Source organism: Homo sapiens, chromosome X (genome assembly GCF_000001405.40).
Source record: "Homo sapiens chromosome X, GRCh38.p14 Primary Assembly".
NCBI classification, from domain to species: Eukaryota; Metazoa; Chordata; class Mammalia; order Primates; family Hominidae; genus Homo; species Homo sapiens.
The window spans coordinates 154,182,582-154,208,339 of record NC_000023.11 but is presented as its reverse complement, the minus strand read 5'-3'; the positions used below and the strand labels follow the sequence as shown (position 1 = coordinate 154,208,339).

The 25,758-nt window shown below is 51.6% G+C and overlaps 1 protein-coding gene and 1 pseudogene across 1 annotated transcript; one reads left to right on the top strand and one right to left on the bottom strand.

The window, feature by feature from the left end:
- TEX28P1 (TEX28 pseudogene 1) overlaps window positions 1-12,019 on the top strand; it is a 20,975-nt pseudogene extending 8,956 nt beyond the window's left edge.
- On the bottom strand, window positions 11,479-25,744 carry OPN1MW (opsin 1, medium wave sensitive). Its single transcript, NM_000513.2, has 6 exons — window positions 25,551-25,744; window positions 20,274-20,570; window positions 18,118-18,286; window positions 16,487-16,652; window positions 14,693-14,932; window positions 11,479-12,410 (listed from the first exon to the last, which is right to left on the bottom strand). The coding sequence occupies exons 1-6, from the start codon at window positions 25,660-25,662 to the stop codon at window positions 12,300-12,302; spliced, it is 1,095 nt and encodes a 364-aa protein (NP_000504.1). The 5' UTR covers window positions 25,663-25,744; the 3' UTR covers window positions 11,479-12,299.

The window sequence follows — 25,758 nt, the reverse complement described above, 5'->3', positions numbered from 1 at the left end:
AGACTCAGGAGGCTTGGGGCTGGCCCTGGGGTCTCCTCCTTCATGAGGTCTGGGTTTGTAGGTCCTTGCAGAGGACGTTCCTGGGTCCTGGAAGGACTGTGACTGCTTCCGCTGGAGTTGCTTGAGGCCCCTGGTAACTCTCCTCTCTGTGTGCTGAGGAGAAGCACGGGCGTCGCGAACTTGATGATTCTGGATGGAAGGGTCTTTGCCAAGCTTCCCTTTCTTTCTTGTGGAAATAGGAGGAGCTTCAGATCTCCGAGAAGATGCACAGTGAGCGGCCGACCTCCTCAGCACAAGCCAGTCTCCTGGGGGACCAGAAGGCCCCGGTCCCTCAGTTTCTTCGTGGGTCAGGAGGAAAGAAGGCTTGAGAAACTCAGAAAACGTTCATTGGTAGAAGAGATGGCACCCAAGGAAGGCATGGGGAGCCTTCAAGTAAAAGTCTCGACTGGCCAGGTCTCATCTGGGCACCTTGCATGCAGAGTTGCAGGAGGCCCCCTCTAGCCTCCTAATGAGCCAGGGGGCTCTGGGAGGGTCTTGGGGGTCCTTCCCCATCTCTTACAGGATGCGCAGCTGACTTCTGCTTGATGGTGAAAGGCAGTCAGGTTTCAGTCTTGGCCCCGTAGACAGGGCATGGACAAGTCCTGGAGTTGGGGGTATGGTGCCAGCAAAACCATCTTTACTCTCTGGGGTCCATAGCCAGTCCCAGCCTGCCCAGCCCCACCCTCCTCCTTCACCTTTGTAGCCCGAGTGGTCAATGCCTGGGGTAGATGGGTTGCTGGGACATCTTTGTTCTTTGTTGGATGAGTAAAATGGTCCTGGGAGAAAACCCGACTGTGAGGAGCACATTGCTTCTTTTTTTTGTCTTTTTTATGAGATGGAGTCTCACTCTGTCCCCCAGGCTGGAGTGCAGTGGCACGATCTCGGCCCACTGCAACCTCCACCTCCCCGGTTCAAGCGATTCTCCTGCCTCAGCCTCCCGAGTAGCTGGGATTACAGGCACACGCCAGCATGCCTGGCTACTTTTTGTATTTTTCAGTAGAGATGGGGTTTCGCCATGTTGACCAGGGGTCTCGAACTCCTGACCTGAAGCGATCCACCCACCTCGGCCTCCCAAAGTGCTGGAGTTACAGGTGTGAGCCACCACACCTGGCTGGAGGACATTGCTTCTTGCCCCATTTCTAGTTCCCTAGACCTGCCTTGGCATCAACTCATTGAAGGCTCCACTTGGTGACAAGGAACCGGCTTATTTGGAAACAGGGTCGTTGCGGACGTGATGAGTTAGATCTGGATGAGGTCATTCTGCAGAGGGGTGGGCCCTAATGCAGTGTGACCTGTGTCCTGACAGAAAGGGGAGACGGAGACACGGACACACCCAGAGGGAGAGCGCCGTGTGGAGACAGAGGCTGAGGCCGACCTGCCGTGGCAGAAGCCAAGGAAGCCCGCAGGTGGGCAGCAGAGCAGAAGCTGGGACAGAGGCCCCGAGTGGAGGCGCCTTCTCGGTCCTCGGCAGGAGCCCGCCCAGCCTGGGCCTTCCTCTCGGACTGCTGGACCCCCAGCCAGGAGAGAGGCCATCTCTGCTGGGAAAGCCACTCAAAGTTTGTAACGCTTTGTGATGGCAGCCAGAGGAAACTCCCACACTCAGCTTGTCCTTTAGGCTCTGCTCTGATGTCCTCTCCTCAAAGGGACTTCCCAGGCTACCACGTTCAAATGGCCTCTTCTTTTATTCTTTTGGAAGCGGGGTTTTTTGAAGTAAAGTTTTTGTTTTTTTGTTTTTTTTAGATGGAGTTTTGCTCTTGTTGCCCAGACCGGAGTGCAATGGCGCAATCTCGGCTCACTGCAACCTCCGCCTCCTGAGTTCAAGCGATTCTCCTGCGTCAGCCTCCCGAGTAGCTGGGATTACAGGCAGGCACCACCACGCCTGGCTAATTTTGTAATTTTAGTAGAGATGGGGTTTCTCCATGTTGGTCAGGCTGGTCTCGAACTCCTGTCCTCAGGCGATCCACCTGCCTCGGCCTCCCAAAGTGCTGGGATTACAGGAGTGAGCCACCGCGCCTGGCCTTTTTGAGGTAAATTTTATGCAGTGAAATTGCATTTAAGTTTAGGCATACAGTTTAACGAGTTTTGACAAAGGTTTACACCTGGGCAGCTAAAATCCCAATAAAGAGCTTTGCCACCACCCCAGAAAGTACCCTCATACCCTCTTCCAGTGAATGCCCGTCTCCCATAATTGGCCACTGTTCCGGTTTCTGTCACTCTAGCTTCATCTCCTTTTGAACTTCACGTAAGTGGAATCGCACGGCACGCAGTGCTTTGTGTCTGGCGGCTTTCGCTCCGTGGAATTGTTTTGAGATCCACCCAAGCTGTGTGAAGTGAGTAGCTCATGGCTTCGTATTGCTTGGCAGCCTTCCATTGCATGGAGACGCCGCAGGTTGCTTATGCCCTGGTCCGCTGCCAGTTGGGGCGACTGAATAAAGCTGCTATGAACGTTCTCGCACAAGTCTTTCTGTGAACATATGCTTTCATATATGGAATTGCTAGATAACAGGGAAGTGTTATGTGTCTTAGTCCCACTTTCTGTTGCTGTAACAGAGTACCGCAGGCTGGGTGGTTTATAAAGAAAGGAAGTTCAATGTCAAGGCGCTGGCAGCTGGTGAGGACCTTTGTACGGCATCATCCTATGGCGGAAGGCAGAAGGGCAAGAGGGCGTGAGAGAGCGAGCGGGGGCCAAACTTTCATGATAACAATATTAATATTAATCGCCTCTTACCAGTCCCACCCCTTAACACCATCACATGGCCATTAAATTTCAACACGAGTTTTGGGGGGGACATGTACCCCATAGCAGTATGCTTAACTTTTTAAGAAAGAGGAAGGCCGGGCGCGGTGGCTCACCCCTGTAATCCCAGCACTTTGGGAGGCTGAGGCAGGCGGATCACCTGAGGTCGGGAGTTCGAGACCAGCCTGAACAACATGGAGTAAACCCTGTCTCTACTAAAAATACAAAATTAGCCCGGCGTGGTGGCACATGCCTGTAATCCCAGCTACTCGGGAGGCTGACGCAGGAGAATCGCTTGAACTCAGGAGGCGGAGGTTGCGGTGAGCCGAGATCGTGCCATTGCACTCCAGCCTGGGCAACGAGTGAAACTCCATCTCAAAAAAAAAAAAAAGAGGAACTGTTTTCCGACATGGCTATACCATTTTACAGTCCCGCTAGGAGTGTATAAGAGTTCCAGTTGCCAACGTTTGGCAAGATCAGTCTTTTAAATGTCAGCCTCTTAAGTTCAGCCACAACTTGGTGAAATTAGACTCCAAAATTTCATCACCCTAGCCCATGTTCTCTCGACCTTGGCACTGTCGACATTTTGGACCAAATGATTCTCTGTTGTGCGGGGCTGTCCTGTACATTCTAGGATGATGAGCAGCATCCCTGGTCTCCACTTACTTGATGCCAGTGGTGCCGTGAATTAATTGATGCTGCCGTGACAAATTGCCCCCAACTTCATGGCTTAAAATAATAGAAAGTTATTCTCTCGCAGTCCTGGAGGCTAGAAGGCCGAAATCCGTTTCACTGGGCTGAAATCAGGCGAGGAGGACACACACTCATTGGAGGCTCTAGGGGACAAACTGATCTTTGCCTCTTCCAGTTTCTGGTGGCTGCCAAATTCCTTAATTTTGTGGCCACATCATTCCTGTCCTGAAGGCCAGCATCTTCAAACCTGTGTTCTGTCTTCACATGACATTCTCGTCTGTGTGTGTCTAATGTCCTTCTGCCTCTCTCTCATACATGTGATTGCATTTAGGGCCACCAGGATAATCTAGGATAATCTTTGCATCTCAATACCCTTAAACTCACCACTTCTGGAAAGCCCCCTTTTTTGGTCATAGAAGGTAACATTCACAGTTTCCAAGGATTATGACACAGATATCTTTTGCGGAGGGGCTTTTTGTTTTTTTCTTTTTTAGACAGAGTCTCTCTCTGTCACCCAGGCTGGAGTGCAGTGGCACGATCTTGGCTCACTGCAACCTCCGCCTCCTGGGTTCAAGCAATTCTCCTGCCTCAGCCTCCCAAGTAGCTGGGACTACAAGCGCGTGCCACCACACCCAGCTAATTTTTTTGTATTTTTCATAGAGACGGGGTTTCACCCTGTTGCTCAGGGTGTTCTTGAACTCCTGAGCCCAGGTAATCTGCCCACCACAGCCTCACAAAGTGCTGGGGTTACAGATGTGAGCCACCGTGCCCAGCCTAGGGGGGCAATTTTAGCCTACCGTGCCCCACCTATTTGTAACAACCAGAAATGTCTGTCCAGAGATTGCCAAATGTCCCTTGTTTGGGGAGGGGGGGGCCGGCAAATTGCCCCTGGTTGAGAACCAGTATCCTAGCCCATGAGACTAGTGGGTGTGTGACCCTGCCTCTGACGATTAATGATGCTGAACCCCTTTTCATGTGCTTATCAGCCAATAAGTCTTTGGCTTGTTTTCAACTTGGATTGTCTTTTTATTGTTGAGTTGTCAGAGCTCTTTATATACTCCGGACCAGTCTTTGTCACTCCCCTACTTTTTCCTTTCTCGCAGCACTCACCGCCTAAACTGCTCTCCCTTGTGTAGGTATTCATTTGTGTTGTATTGTTCTCGTCAAAATATCAGCACATTCAGGTCGGCCACTGTGTCTGAGTGACTGCCCAAAGACATGTTGGCACATGATGGCTGTTCTGTGAGTACCTGTTTCATGGATCAGTCTGGATGCTGCTTTTCCTCCCTTCCTGAAGGGACCCAGCTCGCCCTCTGGGCTGCCTCCCTCCTCCATGTATGTCAGAACTCTATCTGCTGTGTCTTGGGAACATCAGGGCAGGGCCAGGAGGGCTGATTCTGGATTTAGGCCTGGCCCAGCCTCCTCTCTGCAAGGTATTTACTGAATGACCTTGGACGAGGTGCTTCAAGTTTGCAATCCTCAGTTTCCACATCTGTAACATGGAGGTAAAAATGATCCCACTATTGTTGGAACTGTTGTGAGAATTAATTAATACTTGTGTGTAAGCCCCAAGTAGATGCTGATGGAACTGAATTTACAATTCCTTTCTGCTTCCTATGTGCAAACTAAGTCCTTGAAAGATCGTAAAGAAAAATGGGGCCAGATGTGGTGGCTTATGGCTGTAATCCCAGTGCTTTGGGAGGTCGAGGCAGGAGGATTGCTTCAGCCCAGGAGTCTGAGACCAGCTTGGGTAACAAAGTGAGACCATATCTCTGCAAAAAATTTTAAAAGTGTTAACCGGACTTGGTGGCACATGCCTGTAGTCCCTGCTACATGGGAGGCTGAGACAGGAGGATCGCTTGAGCCCGAGAGTTTTATGTTGCAGTGAACTATGATTGTGCCACTGTGCTCCAGCCTGGGTGATAGAGGACAGAGTGAGAACTTGTCTCAAAAAAAAAAACAGAAAGAGAGAGAGAGAGAGAGGAGAGAGAGAGAGAGGAGAGAGAGAGAGAGAGAGAGAGAGAGAGGGAGAGAGAGAGAGAGAGAGAGAGAGAGAGAGAGAGAGAGAGAGAGAGAAAGAAAAAGAGAAAGAAAGAAAGAAAGAAAGAAAGAAAGAAAGAAAGAAAGAAAGTTGTTAATGGCTTTTTTTTTTTTTTGAGGTGGTGTCTTGCTCTGCTGCCCAGGCTGGAGGGAGTGCAGTGGCTTGATCTCAGCTCACTGCAACCTCTGCGTCCCGGATTCAAGTGATTCTCCTGTCTCAGCCTCCTGAGTAGCTGAGATTACAGGCATGCACCACCACGCCCAGCTAATTTTTGCATATTTTAGTAGAGACGGGGTTTCACCATGTTGGCCAGGATGGTCTCGATCTCCTGACCTCGTGATCCGCCCGCCTCGGCCTCCCAAAGTGCTGGGATTACAGGCATGACTGCAGCCGGCCAATGTCTTGGAACTATTAATAGCCATGGTGGTTGCACAACACCACATGTGCTAAATGCCGCTGAATTGTTCACCTTAAAATAATTCATTTTATGTTACATGAAATTTACCTCAATAAAAATTGAATAAAAAAGAAGCTACTCAGGTGCCGAGTAGGCAAAACTTTCACTCTTGCTTTGTATTTCTGGCTGTATCCACAAGTGGGCAGTCGTGAAATTTTCTTATAGCCTCCTGTCATATTGAAAACGCCCGGAAGTGAATATGCCAGGTCTCCATGTTTTTCTTTCCCTCCTGGACACGAGGTCCTTGGGGGCATCCAGACCCTAGCTCCTCTGTCCCAAGACTGTTCTGGTATGTTTCGCTTTCAGACGAGGCTTGGAGATAACAGGCTATGGTTCCTAGAGGCTTCAGTGTTGCTCTGTGACCTCTCAGCCCCAGGGATCCAGCCTCGGGCTGACTTTCCTCAAGGTATCTGCTTAGGGCTTTGTTGCAGGCTGGGGTCGTGTTAACTTCCATTTTTTCCCCGACTTCTCCTCCATGTCACAGCATCCTGCATCTTGGGATCTCTGAGGAGGTCTGACCTAAGGTCTGATCTGCTCTCTGAACTGGTTCCTCTCATCCCTATTGCGTTGAAGCAAAGCACAGACATTATATCAGTTCATCTGTAAATATTTCAGTGTGAACCTGAAATATGGATCATTTTGTTAACATAGCCTAAATACCATACCAAAAATGTTTTAAAACAAGTCCACAATGTTAAATATGCAGTCACTGTCACCTTATTGCCTCACACATGCCATCATTCCTTTTTATTTCTGAAGGAATTCTTTTTTTTTTTTTTGTGAGACAGAGCCTCACCCTGTCACCCAGGTTGGAGTGCAATGGTGAGATCTCGGCTCGCTGCAACCTCTGCCTCCCAGGTTCAAGCGATTCCCCTGCCTCAGCCTCCTCAGTAGCTGGGATTACAGGCATGTGCCACCACGCCCGGCTAGTTTTTGTATTTTTAGTAGAGACGGGGTTTCACCATGTTGGCCAGGCTGGTCTTGAACTCCTGACCTCGTGATCTGCCTGCCTCGGCCTCCCAAAGTGCTGGGATTACAGGCGTGAGCCACCACACCCGGCCCTGAAGGATATTTTTTGCTGGACATAGAATTCTAAGTTGGCACTTAATTTTTGGAAATAATAAGCATTTTGAACAAATCATTCCCTTCTGACTTCCATGGTTTCTGTTGAAAAGGCAGCTGCCAGTCTTCTTGTTGCTCCTCGGATCACAGTTTTGTTTTCCTCAGGCTCCTTTTAAGATCTTTTGTTTTTCTTTGTTGTTTAGTGGTTTTGCTATGATGATGTTTGGCGTGATTTTCTTTCTCTCTTCTTTTTTGTGCCGCTGACTCTCCCCTTGGTGTGATTTTCTTTGCATTCATCCTGCTTGGGCTTCGCATTGCTACTTGGGTTTATGGCTTGATGTCTTTTGTCAGTTTTGGACGTTTTCAGCCATTATATTTTCAAATAGTGACTCTGCCCTAGTCTCTCATTTTTCCCCTTCTAAGGCCCCAGTTACATGTATGTTCAACCTTTCCACTGTATCCCTACATCCTCTGGGTTCCTGTGTGAGCCGTCCTGGCGAATTTCCTCCTGCTTTCGCTTCTGTTTTGTTGGCTCTTCCCCCAGCTCCCCAGGGCCCCTTGCTTTGGCACATTTGCTCAGAGTGAGCTCATCCATCCTGGCCACATGCACCGATTGCACCTGGGCTATTGACCCCTCCTACAGCTGTTTCTCCGTCTCAGACTTTTCCTCCAAGTTGTGGGCCATGATTAGGCTCTAGCTCAATTTGCCAAAAGCAAATTCTCAGAAATGACCAAGAATATACTCTTTCTGGCTGGGCCCAATGGCTCACACCTGTAATCCCAGCACTTTGGGAGGCCGAGGCAGGCGGGTCACCTGAGGTCAGGAGTTGGAGACCAGCCTGGCCAACATGGTGAAACCCTGTCTCTACTAAAAATACAAAAAATTAGCCCGGCATGATGGCGCATACCTGTAGTCCCAGCTACTCAGGAGGCCGAGGCAGGAAAATCACTTGAACCCGGGAGGCGGAGGTTGCAGCAAGCCAAGATCGTGCCACTGCACTCCAGCCTGGGCAAATAGAAGGAGATCCGTCTCAAAAAAAAAAAACAACAACACTATTTTGAAAAAAACAATAAAGTTTAGAACACTTTGTGTTGGAGAGGGTGGTCTTAACACCTTCGGTCTGTCTTGAGGGTGTCTGGGTTGACTGGTCATCGTTTTGTGTTCATAAGAGCATTCTCCAGAGTTGTCCATTTGCTTCTGTGACTGTAGGAGGTGGAGAGAGGGGGGTCCTTGACCAAGGAAGAGAAGGGAGCGCGGCTGCCAGAGGGCCAGGAGATGGGGGCCAGAGAGAAGGGGAGACTGAGAGAATATCCTTATGAAAATATTGTTTACTGACATCTGAAGAGACTCTTCAAGAATGCACTGAAGAATATCTTCATGTATCTTTACCAATACATTGATGAAGATTGACTTCATATTCCTGAGGACAGTTAAAATCTTGAATGTTCTCACAGCTAGATCATTCATGTAAATGGAAAGACAGTAATGAGGAATCTATTTTCGGGGTGACCATCCTGCCGACCCACTCCCCCTCTCTGTGAGCAGTGGCCTAGTCCATGTTGTCCACCGACTCTCTTCTTAACAGGGACCTGGGGCAGAGACAAATGGAATATTCCTTGAAATGCTGCGAGGAACCAGCTTTTGACAAATTGGCTTTCAACAAATGAGCTGTCAGCTTATTCAGTGCCCGGGGGATTTCTCCGTGTGGGTGTTGGTCAAGTCCTTGGAGTGGGACCGAATAGAAGTCGTCACTGTTTTCCCCGTCTCTGTCAGCACCACCGTTTAGACCTCCTGCACCTGAGGCCTGCCGCCACCCTCCTGGGCCTCCTGGGGCGGCAGCCCTGCCAGTCTATGGGTTCCATCACGCTCTGGTGCCTTCTCTCTTCTACGTAAGCGGTGGTGCCAGAGCCCCCTCACTGGCCCCCTGGCCTCTGTCCTTCTGGCCCGTTCTTTGTGGTGCCAAAAGGGGAACTTCATAGAAGTTTTTAAATTATGAAGTATTTCAAGCAAAGGGAAAATGTAAGGATAACATAATTAACAGCCCCAGCTTTCTGAAATCTTAACATTTGCCATATTCACTTCAAATCTTATTTTTTTAGGAAATAAAACTTTAAAATATTCTGTTGAAGCCCTCATTACCCCTTTCCAGCACCATCTCCCTTCCTTGCTATTCTGGCCTTGCTATACTGGCCTCACCATTCTCATTTGGGTGCTTATCTTTTCCATGCATGGTTTTATACTTTTACTACTTATATAATTATATACACAACAGGTAGTGATTGTTTTCTTTTAGAGATAGGGTCTCACTCTGCTGCCCAGGCTGGAGTGCAGTGGCGTGATGGCAGCTCACTGCAGCCTCGAACTCCCGGACTCAAGAGGTCCTCCTGCCTCAGCCTCCAGAGTAGCTGAGACTACAGGCGCGTGCCACCACACCCAGATAATTAAAAATTTTTTTTGTAGAGACAGGGTCTCACTGTGTTGCCCAGGCTGGTGTTGAATTCCTCCTGGCCTCAAACAATCCCCTTGCCTTGGCCTCCCAAAGCGCTGGGATTGCAACTGTGAACCACTGCGCCTGGCCTGCTTGTGGTTTTTTAACAGCTCTATTGAGATATAATTTACATATTATAAAATGCACCATTTTAACTACATTTCAATGGTTTTTAGTAAATTTACTGAGTTGCGCAACTATTGCCATGATTCACTTTTCTCTTTTTGTTTAAATAACGGCTCTATTGAGATATAATTCACATCCCATAAAATTCACCAATTTAAAGTGTACAATTCACTGGTTTTTCGTATAGTCACAGAGTTGTTCAACCATCACCACTATCTAATTCCACAATATTCTCTTTTTTTTTTTTTTGAGACGGAGTCTCGCTCTGTCGCCCAGGCTGGAGTGCAGTGGTGTGAACTCTGCTCACCGCAAGCTCCGCCTCCCGGGTTCACGCCATTCTCCTGCCTCCGCCTCCCGAGTAGCTGGGACTACAGGCGTCCGCCACCACGCCCGGCTAATTTTTTTTGTATTTTTAGTACAGACGGGGTTTCACCGTGTCAGCCAGGATGGTCTCGATCTCCTGACCTCATGATCCGCCCGCCTTGGCCTCCCAAAGTGCTGGGATTACAGGCGTGAGCCACCGTGCCCGGTCCTACAATATTTTCACCAGCCCCAAAGCAACCCTGTACTCATTAGCAGCCACTGCCCATCCCCCACCCCCAGCCCCTGGCACCCACTAATCTGCTTTCTGTCTCTATGGATTTGCCTATTCTGGACATTTCGTAACTAATGGAATTGTACTGGAATCTGTGGTCTTTTGTGGCTTTTCAATCCTTATAGTCACCATGTTTCTATAGAGTAACTGCAGGCTAAACTGCAGGCTAGACTTCGTGCTCAACACTGGTCCTGGGGGATTTGCGGAACTGAAGAGCACACACAGATAGTTCACACTGTCATTTCTACAACTTCTAGTCTGTGGCTATTTTTGTAAAGCTGTTACAAAAGAGTAACTACATATAAAATATATATGAATATTGGTGTGCGTGTGGCTGGTGTGTGTTTGGGGTGTTCCCAGGCAGACCTGGAGTGGGAGGCAGGCTTTCCCTAGAGCCTGGGGAGCGGGGAGGAAGGCAGAAGCTGAACCCGAATCTAGTCTAGGTCAGGACCGCTCGCTGTTGGCATGAGCTCTGGATGAGGTACTGAAGGAATCTCACTTTCTCTTTTGCTCCCAAGGCAAGCATTGATGGAAGAACAGGTGAATGGTCGCCTGCAGGGACAGCTGAATGAGATTTACAACCTCAAACACAATCTGGCCTGCAGCGAAGAGAGAATGGCCTATCTATCCTATGAGAGAGCCAAGGAAATATGGGTGAGAACCTCCTGGGGGAGCCTTGCAAGAAGACTGGAGGGATGAGCGAATCTATTCTGATACCCCCAAACCAAAGCAAGACACGGGTCCTCGAGCTGCCCCCTCCTGAGGGTTCGATGGCCACACACATTTGTTTCAGAGCTAGCAGCATCTGATCTTTACACTCACGCTCCGCTTCCCACCATCTGGCTTAGCTGCTTTTGCCACTCTGGTGCTGCAGTGCTCACCCGTGAGCCTCTGACTCGGGAGATCTGGGGTGGAGCTGCTTCTGCTGCGGCTGCAGGTGTAGGGAGCGCCCTCTCAGAACCCCTCCTTAGACCTGGCTTCCCTCTCCTCACTTTTCCATTCCCATAGCGCCCACCCCCGTCCCTGGGTAGCTGTGTCTTGACCAGGTCCTCAGCTTCGGGAGACAGTGGATGGGGGAGTGCAGCCGGGTCAGATGAAGCTTTCCCTGTTGCTGGAGAGCCTGCGCCCTCCCCTCTGCCCTGAATGTGCTCTAGGCTCTCTGCTTCCCTCCTCGAATACCCACTCCACAGTGCTTTCTGCTCACCCCTAAGAACTCAATAAACGACCACAACTCTGTGCTGACTTCTGGTGCGTGCATTTTCGTCTCCTGCAGGAGATCACGGAGACCTTCAAGAGCCGAATATCCAAGCTGGAGATGCTACAGCAAGTCACCCAACTGGAGGCAGCGGAGCACCTCCAAAGCCGTCCCCCGCAGATGTTGTTCAAGTTCCTGAGTCCGCGCCTCTCACTGGCAACCGTCCTCTTGGTCTTTGTCTCCACCTTGTGTGCCTGCCCCTCGTCACTGATCAGCTCACGCCTGTGCACCTGCACCATGCTGATGCTGATCGGGCTTGGGGTCCTGGCCTGGCAGAGGTGGCGCGCCATCCCTGCCACAGACTGGCAGGAATGGGTCCCCTCCAGGTGTAGACTGTACTCCAAGGACTCTGGGCCTCCAGCAGATGGACCTTAAGGGGCCAGGAGGGCCACCTGCCTTAGCTTGCTAGCTCCCTCCCTCCTCCTGGGTGCTGAGGGCATCCAGCAAGCCCCTCCACAGCTCTTGCTTGCCGATTATGTAACCACCAGCCTGGTGAAATGGATATAGACGCCCACCTGCCTCACACTTCTGTTTTGCCAGGATCCTTTCACGCCATCGGTAGACATGAGGCTCGGGAAAACTTAAAGTCTATGAAGCGCTCTCTCCTCTTTATCCCCCTTGCACCCTCTCGAGACCCAGTGCCTGCACACGCAGAGGCTCAGGTGGTCCCACACTGCAGTGAAAGCCTCTGTGACTTTGTTGGTTTTGGCAAAGATAAATTACATTTATTTTACAGGGATGGAGAAGGAGGGGGAAAGGAGAGGTGGCCAAAGCCCCGGTGGGCGGGATGGGTAGGAGGCAGACCTCATGCAGGCGATACCGAGGACACAGATGAGACCTCCGTTTTGGAGGCGCTGGAGAGTTCAGAGCCATCGTCAACCTTCTTCCCGAAAAGCTGCAAGATGCAGTTTCGAAACTGGAAGGACAGAAAGCGTTATTGAGCAGAGCAGGGAAGGGTGGAGCACTGTGCTGAATGTACGTGCCCGAGCCTTCCCTTCACCCATTCCGAATCCCATGGGGGATGGAGGAAGGCTTGGATTATTTCTCCCTCACACGCGGGGATGTCATCTGACTTAGCAGTTGATGGTGACTACACTGGGTTGAAGTGGGTCCCCCAAAAGATGTGTTCAGGTTAAGATGAGGTCACACTGGAGCAGGGTGGGCCCTAATCGAATGACTGGTGTCCTGATAAGAAAAGGAACGCTTGGACACGGACACGCAGACAGAGGGAAGAAGGCCACGTGAAGATGAAGGCAGAGACTGGGGTGACACACCTTGGAGTCAAGGAACGCCAAAGACTGCCGGCAGCCCTGCAGCTGCTTCTCCCTCCCGGCCTCCATAGGGAACCTTTCCATTTGCCAACACCCTGATTTCAGACTCAAGATTTCCAGAACCCTGAGAGAATCCATTTCTGTGGTTTGAAGCCACTGAGTTTGTGGTAGTTTGTGACGGCAGCCCCATGACACTCATCCACAGTGACAGCTAAGGGGCAGTGGTGACCTGTCCCCAGACTGTCTGGTGAGCGGCTCGGAGGAATATTAATGAAAAGGCATGTGGTTGTCATGTTTTTTCCAGTCCATGGATCTGGGGCAAGGTGAGGCCTAGGTAATGACAATCTAGCCCCTACCTCATCTCTCCAGCCAAGCGTCTTCCGGTACCAGGAGGGGTCTGTCTTTGCTGCTTCACCCCAAAGAGATCTGGGCCATATGAATGTCTCAAATCATGTCCTGTGTCATCCCTGAAGTAACCACAATGCTTTGAGGACCCAGACCAAAGGCATTTTCTAAATATTTCAGGCCTACTCTTGACTAGCTCTAACTCCCTCTATCATCAAAACTCTCAAAAATAAAAAATATAATGGTTGAAATTAATAACATAAGAAACGGGACAAACAGCAGAATCAGCTCGGCTGAAGAGCTGGGAGATAGGGCTGAGGAATCCATTCAGCAGCTGCTGCTTGAGCACCCACTGTGTGCCAGACTCTGTCCTGAGCAAAATTTGCTGTCTTCATGGAACTGCGTTCCAGAAAATTCTCTCAGAATGTGGCAGGACAGGATAATTATGTGGAAAGGGTAAAAGCAAAGTTCGAGGCCTGGTGAGGTCCAGAAGTGCAGACATCTGTCTCCCCCTGTCCAGGGGGAGTTCTGGAAAGGAGAATGGAAATAATCCAGTAAAGACAGTACTTGGCAAGATAGTTTAGGATTCCAGAAACCTAAAAAAGATCCTCATGAAAGTCAGGAAACAGGGGTCAGGGATAGAACTACACTCTGGGCATCAGTGTGCTACAGCGAGTTCCCGGAAATCCACTGCAGGCCTGGTCCTACTTACTGTTTAAAAGTTACCAGAGAGAATGAACCCTTAATGAACTCTGCAGACTTGGCTTGTGTGAGTCAAAGCTGAGCCAAAGGGGCTGGAGCCATTGAGTGGCTCTAAGATGGAGAAGCAAGGAAGAGCCCAGTGGAAGGGATGGACTGGGCCTGGTGAAATGGGAGGCCTCTGCACACCTTTCTGGCCACCATCAAGTCACATCACAGCTGCGCTTTAATGAAGCCTGTAACCTGCAGGAGGTGGGGGGATTTAGGTGTGTGAGCAGCTTGCTGCTGAGGCCCAATATGCCAGCTAAGGAGGCTGCCTCTGGGCAGGACCACAGCACGTCCCCCCTGAACTAACCCACGAACTCGTGAAAGCTCTTGAACTCTTGGTCAGTGTAGCCAAGGAGGGCCGGCTTTTGTTCTTATAGGAAGACAAATTCCAGAGGTTACGGTTTGAAAATGGAGAGATGAAGGTTGAGAAGGGTCGAGTCTGAACAGAAGAGGGGCACACCTAGGGTGGATGTACCTAGGGCTCACCAACTCCTAGAGCGTCTGAACGCCAGGAGAGCCCCTGAAGCTCGGCAGCCATAGTTCTAGGGCCACCGGAAGGGAAGAGCACACGGCACACAGACGCTTTGGGAAATGCCACCCTCAGGCCGAGACTATAAAGGATTCCAGAGGGCACACCTAAGCCTTCTGCTAAGGGCCAGCCGGAGCTCTGGCTGGGGCTGGGTCACACGCTGAGCCTTTCCCGGTCATTTCCCTGGAGGGTCCCCCAGATGCTCCGCGGGCTTCTTATCAGAGACATGATTCCAGGTGGGGCCATCACTGCACCCTTCTAGGGCACACGGTATTTTGAGTGGGATCTGCTGATGGTGTTGCTTACCTGCCGGTTCATAAAGACATAGATAACGGGGTTGTAGATAGTGGCACTTTTGGCAAAGAAGGCCGGCAGGGCAGCCATCAAAGGGTGGAAGGGGTAGCCAGGGTTGGCAGCAGCAAAGCATGCGAAGAAGGCGTATGGTCCCCAGCAGAAGCAGAATGCCAGGACCATCACCACCACCATGCGCGTCACTTCCTTCTCTGCCTTCTGGGTGGATTCAGACTCTTTCTGCTGCTTTGCCACCTAAGGGAGACAGGGATAGTGAGTCGGGGGTTGGAGGGCAGCAAGAGGCAGGTGACCCAGGCATAGGGAGTTGTGGGGAGGAGGAGAGGAGCCCAGCAGCCATCTTCCAGCCCTGAGTGGAGCACAGCCGGCCCCAGGCAGACATGGCTGCCTCAGGCTGGCCCTGGGGGAGTTCTAGAATTGGAGGTGGCATGCAGCTAGGTGTGGCCTAAGATGACCCCAGAGCTGGATCTAACAAGCTCCTTTGCTTCACCTGATCCCTTAACAGACTGTCCTGTCCTGCGCTCAGGCCTGAGCATGGAGGCCTGATTTGATTGATGACTGGGCGTGGAGAATGAAGGAGTTAACAAGGTGGAGATGGCGGGGGAGGCAAAAGCAGTGGCTGGCGGGGTGCGCGATGGGAGTGTCAGAGCAATGCATACACTTCCCTCAGGCTTCCTAGGCCAGGTTGGCCACTCTGTGGACTAAATCCTGCCCTGGACTCACGGTGAGGCAGCTGAGGGCAGCTTTGGTGGGGTGGCTCCTTCATGCCTGCTGGGAGGAAGGAGACGAATGGCCTCCAGGCAGAGGCACTGTGGGGGAGGCCAGAGGCCAGCCACCACCTGCCAGGGATGAGGGACTGGCGGCAGGCAGATGAGTGGGGATGAGAGAGGGAGTGTGAGGGCTGGAATGCAGGGATGGCTGAGACAGCAGAGCTGGGGCCACATTGTGGAGCTGGGGCTCTACCATCCCAGACTAATACAGCCGAAGCCATGGTTGGGTACCTGTGGGAGCCTTCACCCCAAGGTGACGGGGTGAGGGGGCCTTTCACAGGCTCACAGACTCCTCTAGAGAGAGCTTGGCAGGCATGCCCATCCAATTGTGGGCACAGGCAGCTTCATATAGGAAAGCCAGCACCCTGAAAGGGCTCCCACTGCTAACAGAAAAGAACCAGCCTGGCTCTCCTCCCTTGCTCTGACTTCCTGAAGGGCTCCCAGTGGTAGCCTAGTCTAGGGGTGGGGGGTGACGGCTGTGGACAGGATCAGCTTCCCAGGGCAGAGGGCCAGACATGGAGGTGGAGAGTGGGTCAGGGGGGCAAATGGCACTCTCGGGTCCACTCCTTGGTCGGCCCCACAGCCTATGAAAAGGACAAGGGTACTCCGGTGGCAGCCTCATAAAAACACGCCTTGATTTGCAGGTGTCATTTGCTGATGTGGCTGCTCCACTCTACTCTGTGGGAAAGGCAGCCTTTCCACCCCGGGGAGAACTGTCCAGGGTCGGGGCAAGGCACACCTCTGTTCCCTTAGTGGACTCCTCCAGGGAGGGAGTGGCAGTGCTTTCCCGTCTCACAGAGCTGAGGACAACGGGGCTGGGGCTGAACCTGCAGCCACTGGTACAGTCCCAAAGGAATCACCTGATTCTCATCGCTGGATCTTAATATTTTCTTATAGGGGTAAAATCCTCTTCTCTAAGGATTTTTGGAAAAATAGTTTAGGAGTCTCAGTGGACTCATTTGAGGGCAGAGCAGCTTAGGGGCAGGAGGCGGGTGAGGCCAGGAGGAATCGGGGGGCTTACCGCTCGGATGGCCAGCCACACTTGGAGGTAGCAGAGCACGATGATGCTGAGTGGGGTGATGCAGCAGGTGACCATGAGGACAATCATGTAAGACTGCACCCCGGGGTACGAGCTGCCGCTGAACACGTCTGGGCCGCATGAAGTCTTCAGGCCGTGGGGCCAGTACCTGGAGAGAAGGGCCGGCAGCCAGTCCTGATGCAGGGTGGGGTGACCCAGGACCCCCGGCCCAGGCACGGTGCTAACTCGGGTGGGGTTTGTTTTTTTAAATTGAGGTGAAATTCATGTTGCATGAGATTACCCAATTTGAAGTGATCAATTCTGTGGCAGTCACCACCTCTGCTTCCAGAACATTTTCATCAACCCAAAACAAAACCGTTGGGTAGGATTTTGGTTAATCCTTGTCCATTTTTAGATGTCATGCCTTTCTTCTTTTTGAATTGTGGTAAAATACACATCACATAAAATGTACCATTATAGGCCAGGCACAATGGCTCACGCCTATAGTCCCAGCACATTTGGAGGCAGAGGTAGGAGGATTGCTCGAGCCCAGGAGTTCAAGACTAGCCTGGAACACAGTGAGATCTTGTCTCTACAAAAAATAAAAAAAATTAGCTGGGTGAAGTGGTGCACCTGTAGGCCCAGCTCCTCAGGAGGCTGAGGTAGGAGGATCACTTGAGCCCAGGAGGTGGAGGCTGCAGTGAGCCATAATTACACCACTGCACTGTGCCAGCCTGAGTGACAGAGTGAGACCCTGTCTCAAAAAAAGAAAAAAGTACCATTGTGACCTTTGGTACATTCACAATGCTGTGCAACCATCTCCACTATCTGCTTCCAGGACATTTTCATCTTCCCAATCACTCCCCTTCTTTACAAAGGGATTGTGAGGTTCCTTCTTGCCCTGACCTTCTGAGAACACCCATGAAGAGCTGAGTCTTTTATCTGAGGTCAGCTAGGCCATGACTGAAATAAAGGGCCCTGCTCACTTAGTGGCCTGGAGGATTAAATGAGATAACCCGCGGGAGAGCCTCCACCAGGGTCAGCTCACCACACATGTTTGATAACGGGCAGCTGTGTGGGGCATGGCGGCATGAGGAGGGCGGGAGACAGAGACAGGCTTCCACAAGGTTTGTTTCCTAGAATTGTGGAACGTTCTCGAGGAAAGAACATTCCCTCTCCAAACACCACGAGAACTTATTCACGAGCTTGTCGATAAAACAGTGAAATGCTGTCCCACCCAGTCCACTCCAATCAAACATTTGAGCCACTTGCTTGGCCTGGCCAGGACATGTGCTCTGTAGGCCCAGGTGGATCTATGACCCAAGCAGCCTCTGAAAGGTGGGGGGCGTGGTGCGGCAGCGTGTGCAAGAAAGAGACCTGGAATGCAAACACGCTATGCGTTCACTGACAGCTGTGCTGATGGCCTGAGCTCCGTGTGCGCCTGTGACCTGATCGTGCTTGGGATAAATATGTTTCCAGAGGTTCGGGGACCACAGAGCCTTTCCTATGTTGCAGCCACATTCATACATTGATAGACATTGCACGCTCAGAGGGGCCCAGAGAAAGGAAGTGATTTGCCTTAAGGTCACAGAGTCTGACCCTGCCCACTCCATCTTGCGTCCTCGCACCCTTACCTGCTCCAACCAAAGATGGGCGGGGCTGTCCACACAGCAGCCCAGATCCAGGAGAAGGCAATGCCCACGATGGCCAGCTTGGCATCAAATCTCACATTGCCAAAGGGCTTGCAGACCACCATCCATCTCTCCCAGGAAATGATGGCCAGAGACCAGAGACCTGTGATCCCTATGGGGAGAGCAGACAGATGAGGGCTTTGAGCCAAAGCAAAGGTGGGAAGCAAAGCTTCCCACTGTCCTGCTTAGACCCCAAACGTCTGCACACAGAATTCAGGGCTCCACGGACTGAGGTGGAAAAAACGACATCTTTCTTTCCACCAACCTCGAACAGACACTGGGCATTTCCTTCCATTATGAACGTGGCAGTATTAGCAGTACCCGTGACTCGGTCAGCAAGAGAGGTCACAGATGTTTTCCTGTCAATTCATAGAGGTGGCAGAGAGTTCGAATACCACTTATGTTCATCACTACTCTGAAATAACAGTGGTTGTCAGGCGGGATCCTGTTATTTAATACCTTAATACTGAGTGGTGTCACTAATACGTTTAACACATGCTTTTATTTTTATTTACTTTTTGAGACAGAATCTCACTCTGTTGCCCAGGCTGAGTGCAGTGGTGCCATCATAGCTCACTGCAGCCTTGACCTCCAGAGCTCAAGCGATCCTCCCGCCTGAGCCTCCTGAGTAGCTGGGACTACTGGTGTGCCACCACGCCCAGCTGTTTTTATTTGTTGTAGAGAAGAGGTCTCACTATGTTGCCCAGGCTGGTCTCAAACTCTTGGAGGCAAGCAGTCCTCCCACCTCAGCCTCCCAAAGTGCTGGGATTACAGGTATGAGCCTGGCCAGTAAATGCTTTTAACTAAAGACTATGTTACTGATGAATGTTTAATACTTTGATAACTGTATTTCAGTATAATTTGCTGCCTTTGTAATCCTATGGGTCTCATTTTATGCGTTTGCAAAAATTCTCCTGAGATGGGGTCCACAGGCTTCCCAGATGGCCAAGGGCATCCGTGGACCAAAAGTGGTGGGGAAGTGCTGGCTGCTTGGCACCTGACTGACCCAAGAACAGACCATGAGCAGAGGCAAGGGTGAGCGGGAGACCATGGCAGAAACGGAGACAGACGTGGGCGGAGATGCAGGGGGGCACTCGGGAAGGGTCGTGTGACCACCGAGGCCATGCCTGCTGCAGAGAGCACTCGGACCCGGGGATGGACCTTCTCTGCCTGACCTTCCCTTGGCTCCCCTTCTACACTATCGGGGTAGTGCCGGGACTTGGACAAGCACCCTCTCTGGTCTGGGCCATCGTGGGTACAATTTGAGGCAGTTAACGGGGTGGGGTTGGGGAGGCTGCTAAGAGTGGTGGGGAGGCAAGAGCAGGAGCTGCTGCTGCTGGATGTGGGGTCTCCTCCTCCTGAAAGAAAGTCCCAGCTCCTGGGCATGACGTCTGAGGCCTCTGAGACCTGGGCCTGCCCACCTCGTGTCCAGCAGCCACGGCTGCTTGGTGGTACTCTATCCACTCGAACCACAAACTGCTCCCAGCCGCTCCTCCACCACCTGCCCCAGGCCCCTTCTTGTCTGAGAGGACTGATGATGGTACTGTGTGGTTGCCGTCTGGCTATAGGGCCCCCTCCTTAGCACAGAGCCTGGCACGCTAGTACCTCTCCGCCACTGTCTCCTGACCTGAGCGGAATAGTGGCCCACAGAGATATTAGTGATGGGGATGGGGAGAGGATCTGGGAATTGTGTCTCCTCCGGGAAAAGCAGATGCTGGCGAGCTGAAAGAGCAGGCATCCCTAATTGCAGGGGAGTTCTGTCCAGGGTGCCCAGAGTCCCCGCCCCCCTACTGTTCTGGGGTTGTCTAGCTCTGTATCTGTCTCCTCCCACACCAGCCCCACAGCTCCAAACTGGCTGTCCCCGGGCAGAGCCTGACTCAAGAGTAGGAACTCAGGGTATGTTTGACTCAAGGGAGCTGAATTTAATGTGAGTGTTCAGATGGAAGCCTCCAGAACCCTTCAGTATATGGATGTGAGGCGCAGATGTGGAGGGAGACAGGCCTACAGGAGCAGCTGGGCCCCGATCATCATGAGGTGGCCGGAGGGGCTTGCAGGGTGAATGAGTGGTTTCCGCCGAGCCTGGGCCCCGACTGGCTTACCACACAGGGAGACGGTGTAGCCCTCCAGGACACACATAGGGTGGCCCAGCACGAAGTAGCCATAGACCTGGTTCACAACGCTGATAGTGCTGGCGATGACGGTCTCTGCCAGGTCAGCGACCGCCAGGTTCACCAGGATCCAGTTCAGCGGGTGGCGCAGCTTCTTGAACTTCATGGTGGCCGCCAGCACAAGCCCATTTGTGAAGACGGATGCAATGACCACAAAGATCATCCAGACACTGGTGAGGTGGTACACCCATCTGGGAGCGATGTGGTAATTCGGGCCTTCGAAGGGGCCTGAGGGCAGGAGGCAGAGGAGAGAGAGGAGCTGGGCTGCAGCACCGCCTGTCTATACCAGTGCTGATCCCACCTCTCCCCTCCCCCTTCCGCCCTCCTGCCTTTGCAATTGGCTGTTTCCCTCCAGCTTTGTCCATCCTCAGACAGTCTCCCCTCCATCCTGTCCCTCAAGCCAGAGACCATCGCCCGCTGGTCACTGGCACTGGCATCTTGAACTTAACAGAACTCCTCATCGTCTCCTCCATCTGATTCCCCACTCCCAGTGTGCAGTCACCCCACTTCCCTGCTCCCCTCTTCCCTTTGCCCCAGCCCCACCTCCTACCTCCCACAGTCCTCTGCCCTTCCATAGAGAAACGCTTGCCTCCTGTAAAGCCCAGCTCATATGCATTTGCCTTCCAGAAGATTCCCCAGCTAGTGGCAACTCACCCCCTTGAGGGGAAGACCACTACCCACCTCTGTCACCTTCTGTCACACATAGGAGTTACTGTTCATGATGATCTGAATGTACGTGCCCCCCATAAATTTCTGTGTTGAAATCCCAACCCCCAAGGTGATGGTATTAGGAGGTGGGGCCTTTGGCAGGTCATTTAGGTCATGTGTGCAGAGTGAGTGGGGCCCTCATGAATGGGATTAGTGCCCTTATAAAAGAGGTCCTAGAAGCTGGGCATGGTGGCTCACGCCTGTAGCCCCAGCTACTCAGGAGGCCAACGTGGGAGGATCACTTGAGCCTTTGGGAACAGCCCAAATTAGCTGGGAATGGTGGCTCATGCCTGTAATCCCAGCACTTTGGGAGGCTGAGGCTGGAGGGTTGCTTGAGCCCAGGAGTTCAAATCCAACCTGGGCAACATGGCATGCCCATGTAAAAAAAATTTTTTTTTAATTAAAACAAACAAGAAAAAGAGTCCCTAGAGTGCTCTCTAGCTCTCTTTCTTCCATGTGAGGATACAATGAGTTGTTGGCAATCTGCAGTCAGGAAGAGGGTCCTCGCCAGAGCCCACCACGCTAGCACCCTGACTTCCAGCCTCCAGAGCTGTGAGAAATAAATTTATCATTTAAAAGCCACCCAATCTATGGTAATTTCTCTTTTATTCTTTTCCTTTCTTTCTTTTCTTTTTTTTTTTTTTTTGGGACAAAGTCTTGCTCTGTCACCCAGGCTGGAGTACAGTGGCACAATCATAGCTCACTGCAACGTGGAACTCCTGGGCTCAAGCGATCCTCCTGGGCTCAAGCGATCCTCCTGCCTCAGCCTCTCGAGTACCTGGGACTACAAGCCGTGCATTACCACAATGGCAATTTTTTTTATTTCTGTAGAGATGGGGTCTGGCTATCTTGCCTAGGCTGGTCTCGAACTCCTGACTTCAAGTGATCCTCCCACCTTGGCCTCCCAAGTAGCTGGGACTACAAACGAATTATTTCTCCTTTTTCTTCTGTAGGAGTTTGCTAGGGCTCTACACCTTTTGTGTTGGAAGGACCTTCGTCATAACATTGTTTTTGGCAGATTACTTGAAGGGATTGCAAGCCACAGACCTGCTGCCATATAAGGCCTCATGGAGAGTCCCAAGGTTTATCAAGAGATTCTTTAGCTGTGTGTTAGAAAAGCCCAACTCAAGCTAGCTTAAGAAAAATGGGGATTTCCTGGCTATGGCCAGGAGAGACAGATAAATCTCACCCCTAGCACAGCTGGATCCCACAAGGCCTCTGCTGCCCTCTGTGCACGGGCCCCATATGTTCCTAACACAAGGAGCTTCTGGAAACCCACAGACAATGTCTGCAATCCCGATACCTGGCACTGGCTCCCCAGGAACCCCCAGTATGAGCAGCAGGGACAGACCATTGACAATTGAAGACCTGCATGGCGTCAGTCTCCGTGCAGAAGGAAGCAGAGGGGAGCAATGGGGTTGCTGATGGACCTAAGAACAGAGAACCCCCAAACTGTCGGCAGCTCTTCCCTGGGAAGTACCTTGGGTGAACTGGGGAAGAGCAGCTGAGACTGGGAGGGTTTGGGACACTCTGGCCTGCAGGCAAGTGCAAGGGGCTGGAGCAATCTAGGTGCTACGACCTCTGAAAACAAGGCAGCCAGTGCCCTTCCCTGGCAACCCTTGCGGTCCAAATTGGGCAGTGCAGGGACAAGGGGGCAAAGGAGAGAACAGGTCCCAGCAGCAGTGGGGGAGGGGACAGGAGCTGCCACCAGTGTAACTAGAGCTGGTGTCATGGCCTACCCCTCCCTCCTGAAAGTTCTGGAACTGAATTTCATGAAGCAATGAGCAAGAGAATCAAAGTCAGCTCCCAGGCAAAGTGATTCGAGGAAATACAGGCAGGTAGGGAAGGGGCGGTCGGTGGTGGCGCAGAGAAGCCAGACTTCTTCAAATACACCTTCTTTTCTAGATTTTAATTTGAGACTTTTAACTGTTTTATTACATAATTATAAAACAAAATTTAAGTGGCCGGGGGCGGTGGCTCACACCTGTAATCCCAGCACTTTGGGAAGCCGAGGTGGGCGGACGACTTGAGGTCAGCAGTTGGAGACCAGCCTGGCCAACATGGTGAAACCCTGTCTCTACTAAAAATAAAAAAAATTAGCTGGGCGTGGTGGCGGGCACCTGTAGTCCCAGCTCCTCGGGAGGCTGAGGCAGGAGAATCGCTCGAACCGAGGAGGCGGAAGTTGCAGTGAGCTGAGATCGCGCCACTGCACTCCAGCCTGGGCGACAGAGTAAGACTGTCTCGAAAAAATAAAATAAAGTAAAATAAAAGTTTAAATTTACAGAGCAATCTCTGAAAATCAGCAACAAAAGAAATGAAGCTAAATGCATATCCACTGAGTGGCATATCACTTAGAGAGGGACTATTCTAAGGGACTGGAAACACACCGGTTTACTACACAACCTAGTGGCATATACCCTCAGGGTAAGAAGACCTGTGAAGATGTTAAGGTTTTGGTCACCAATAGGTGAAGGCAGGGTAAGGTGTCCGAATGCCGTCATTTTCCATCCCCAGTGGTTTAATTGGTCTGGGCATTGAGTTTCAGTAGCTGCCAACACCCCAGAAAAGAGACACTCTCCTTGCCAAAACACACCAACAAATCCAACCTGCCTCTGGCCAGATCCTCAGATCAACTACCAATTTACAGAAAAATCATAATGAACAACGTCAGAGGGGCCTGTTAGGCTACGTCATGAACGACTTGCTTGCTTCCACAAATAAATTGCAGGGAGATAGAAAGGGAACCTCTAGATTCAAAGGTAGTCAAAAGGCATATCAGTCAATCTGAATGTGTGGACCTTATTTGAGCCCTGATTCAAGCAGACTGAAAATACGTATGACATTTTTTGAACACTACTAGGATATTTGAAGCTATTCAGGAAATACTGTTACACTTGTCGGTGTGATGATGACTTGTGGTTATGTATTGAGAAGAGCCCTTTTCTCCTAGAGGAACATAGTAAAGATTTACAGAGGGAAGGGTGTGATGTCTTGGATTTGCTTCCAAGAATCAGGAAGAAAGGGTAGTGGAGGGGTCACAGATGAAATGAGATGAAACCGTGGAAGCTGAGTGATGGGTACCGGAGTTCATTACACTCCTCCCTCTACTTTAGTAGATGCTTGAAGTTTTGTGGAAAAAAAAAAAAACCCACCCCGACATTTGAAAAGAGTGCACTGAAGCATCATGCATTGATGAAGTCTGGGGGCATCTAGGAAGAGACTGTTGACATTGCCACCAAGGAAATTCTGGGCACAGTCATGTTGAGGTCAACTGCAAGATCCTCATCCGGTTTGGTCTGGGCACTCTGTCACTAATTGGCACTCGGTCCTGGCCACCCCACAGCGGGATGTTTATTGGCAATCAAGGAGCTGGCGTGGCTTCTGGAAACCACAGCCTGCACGATGTTGTTGTTTTTTGTTTTGTTTTGTTTTGAGACAAGAGTCTCACTCTGTGGCCAGGCTGGAGCATAGTGGCGTGATCTCGGCTCACTGCAACCTCCACCTCCCGGGTTCAAGCGATTCTCCTGCCTCAGCCTCCTGAGTAGCTGGGACTACAGGCATGCGCCACCAAGCCCAGCTAATTTTTGCATTTTTAGTAGACATGAGGTTTCAGTATGTTGGCCAGGATGATCTCTATCTGTTGACCTCGTCATCTGCCCGCCTCTGCCTCCCAAAGTGCTGGGATTACAGGCGTGAGCCACTGTGCCCGGCCTGCACGATGTTCTTGAAGGCACCAAAGGAATTTGGTTTGGAGGAGGGACCTGGGGAGAGGGCCAGGAGTGGGGCGGTCACTGGTGTCCTCAGCTTCTTTGAGGGCCTGCGTGCAAAACTTTCGGATTGGGCAACTCCCAATGGCAGGACTCGGGCTGCCCTGATGAGAGCTTTCAGCTTTCTGTTGGGCCTGAGCCCTCTCTCCCAGGACGGCTCCGAATGGAAAGATGGCCCTGGGCGCCAATGCAGCCTCTTCCCCCAGAGGTGTGCAGCCAAAAGCCAAGTGGCCCCATCATGGAGTTTGACAAAATGACTGCTACAGGCTTTGCCGACCCTGAAGTTCTAGAAGTTTCTTGCCCTCTGCTGCTGTCTTCCCCACCCTCCCGCCTCCCTTGGGTGTGTCAGTATGTTGCCTCCTTTCGGCTTCAAATGTAAAGACAGACCCAGCTCTTCCCCAGGAAGCTGAGGGACTCCGTGGAATGAGAGGTCATTCGCTAGCAGTGAACACACTCATCTACGGGCCACAAAGAAAGAGCACATAAACTCTTCCCCGGCCTCGGATTCTCAAAGGGGCTGGGAAGCCTGTGTGGCTTGAGAATGCATATTCGATATTATGGTGTCCTTCTAGATTTGGAGAGGACCCCCCAATTCATGTCATCAGAAAAGCTATGGGAGAAAGCCTTCTCTGCTGGTGGGGACGTGCAGAAGAGAGATTCCCTTGGGCGGGGCAGGTGGGTGGCCGGTGGCCCCCAGTGCAGCCACCCAGCCTCCACGGGCCTGCTGGCTCACCTCTGGTGGAGTTGCTGTTGGTGTAGGTGAAGATGCTGGACTGGGTGCTGTCCTCATAGCTGTCCTGCGGATGGCGGCCTGCGAGCCTTTGGAGGCTCCACTGCTGGGCCATGGCTATGGAAAGCCCTGTCCCCGACGGCAGCCGGCCCTGGTGCGTCACCTGAGGGTCACGGTGCTTTATACCGGCCAGTGGGATCAGCCCGGGCCT

Bases quoted from the DNA above. Each gene is read 5' to 3' on its own strand.
- OPN1MW (NM_000513.2), bottom strand. From the start codon at position 25,662: ATGGCCCAGCAGTGGAGCCTCCAAAGGCTCGCAGGCCGCCATCCGCAG. The intron at 18,287-20,273 runs GTAAGCCAGTCG...CTCTCCCCATAG, and splicing joins CTACACCGTCTCCCTGTGTG to GGATCACAGGTCTCTGGTCT. The intron at 12,411-14,692 runs GTAAGCAACACC...CTGTCCTTCCAG, and splicing joins ATGTCTTTATGAACCGGCAG to TTTCGAAACTGCATCTTGCA.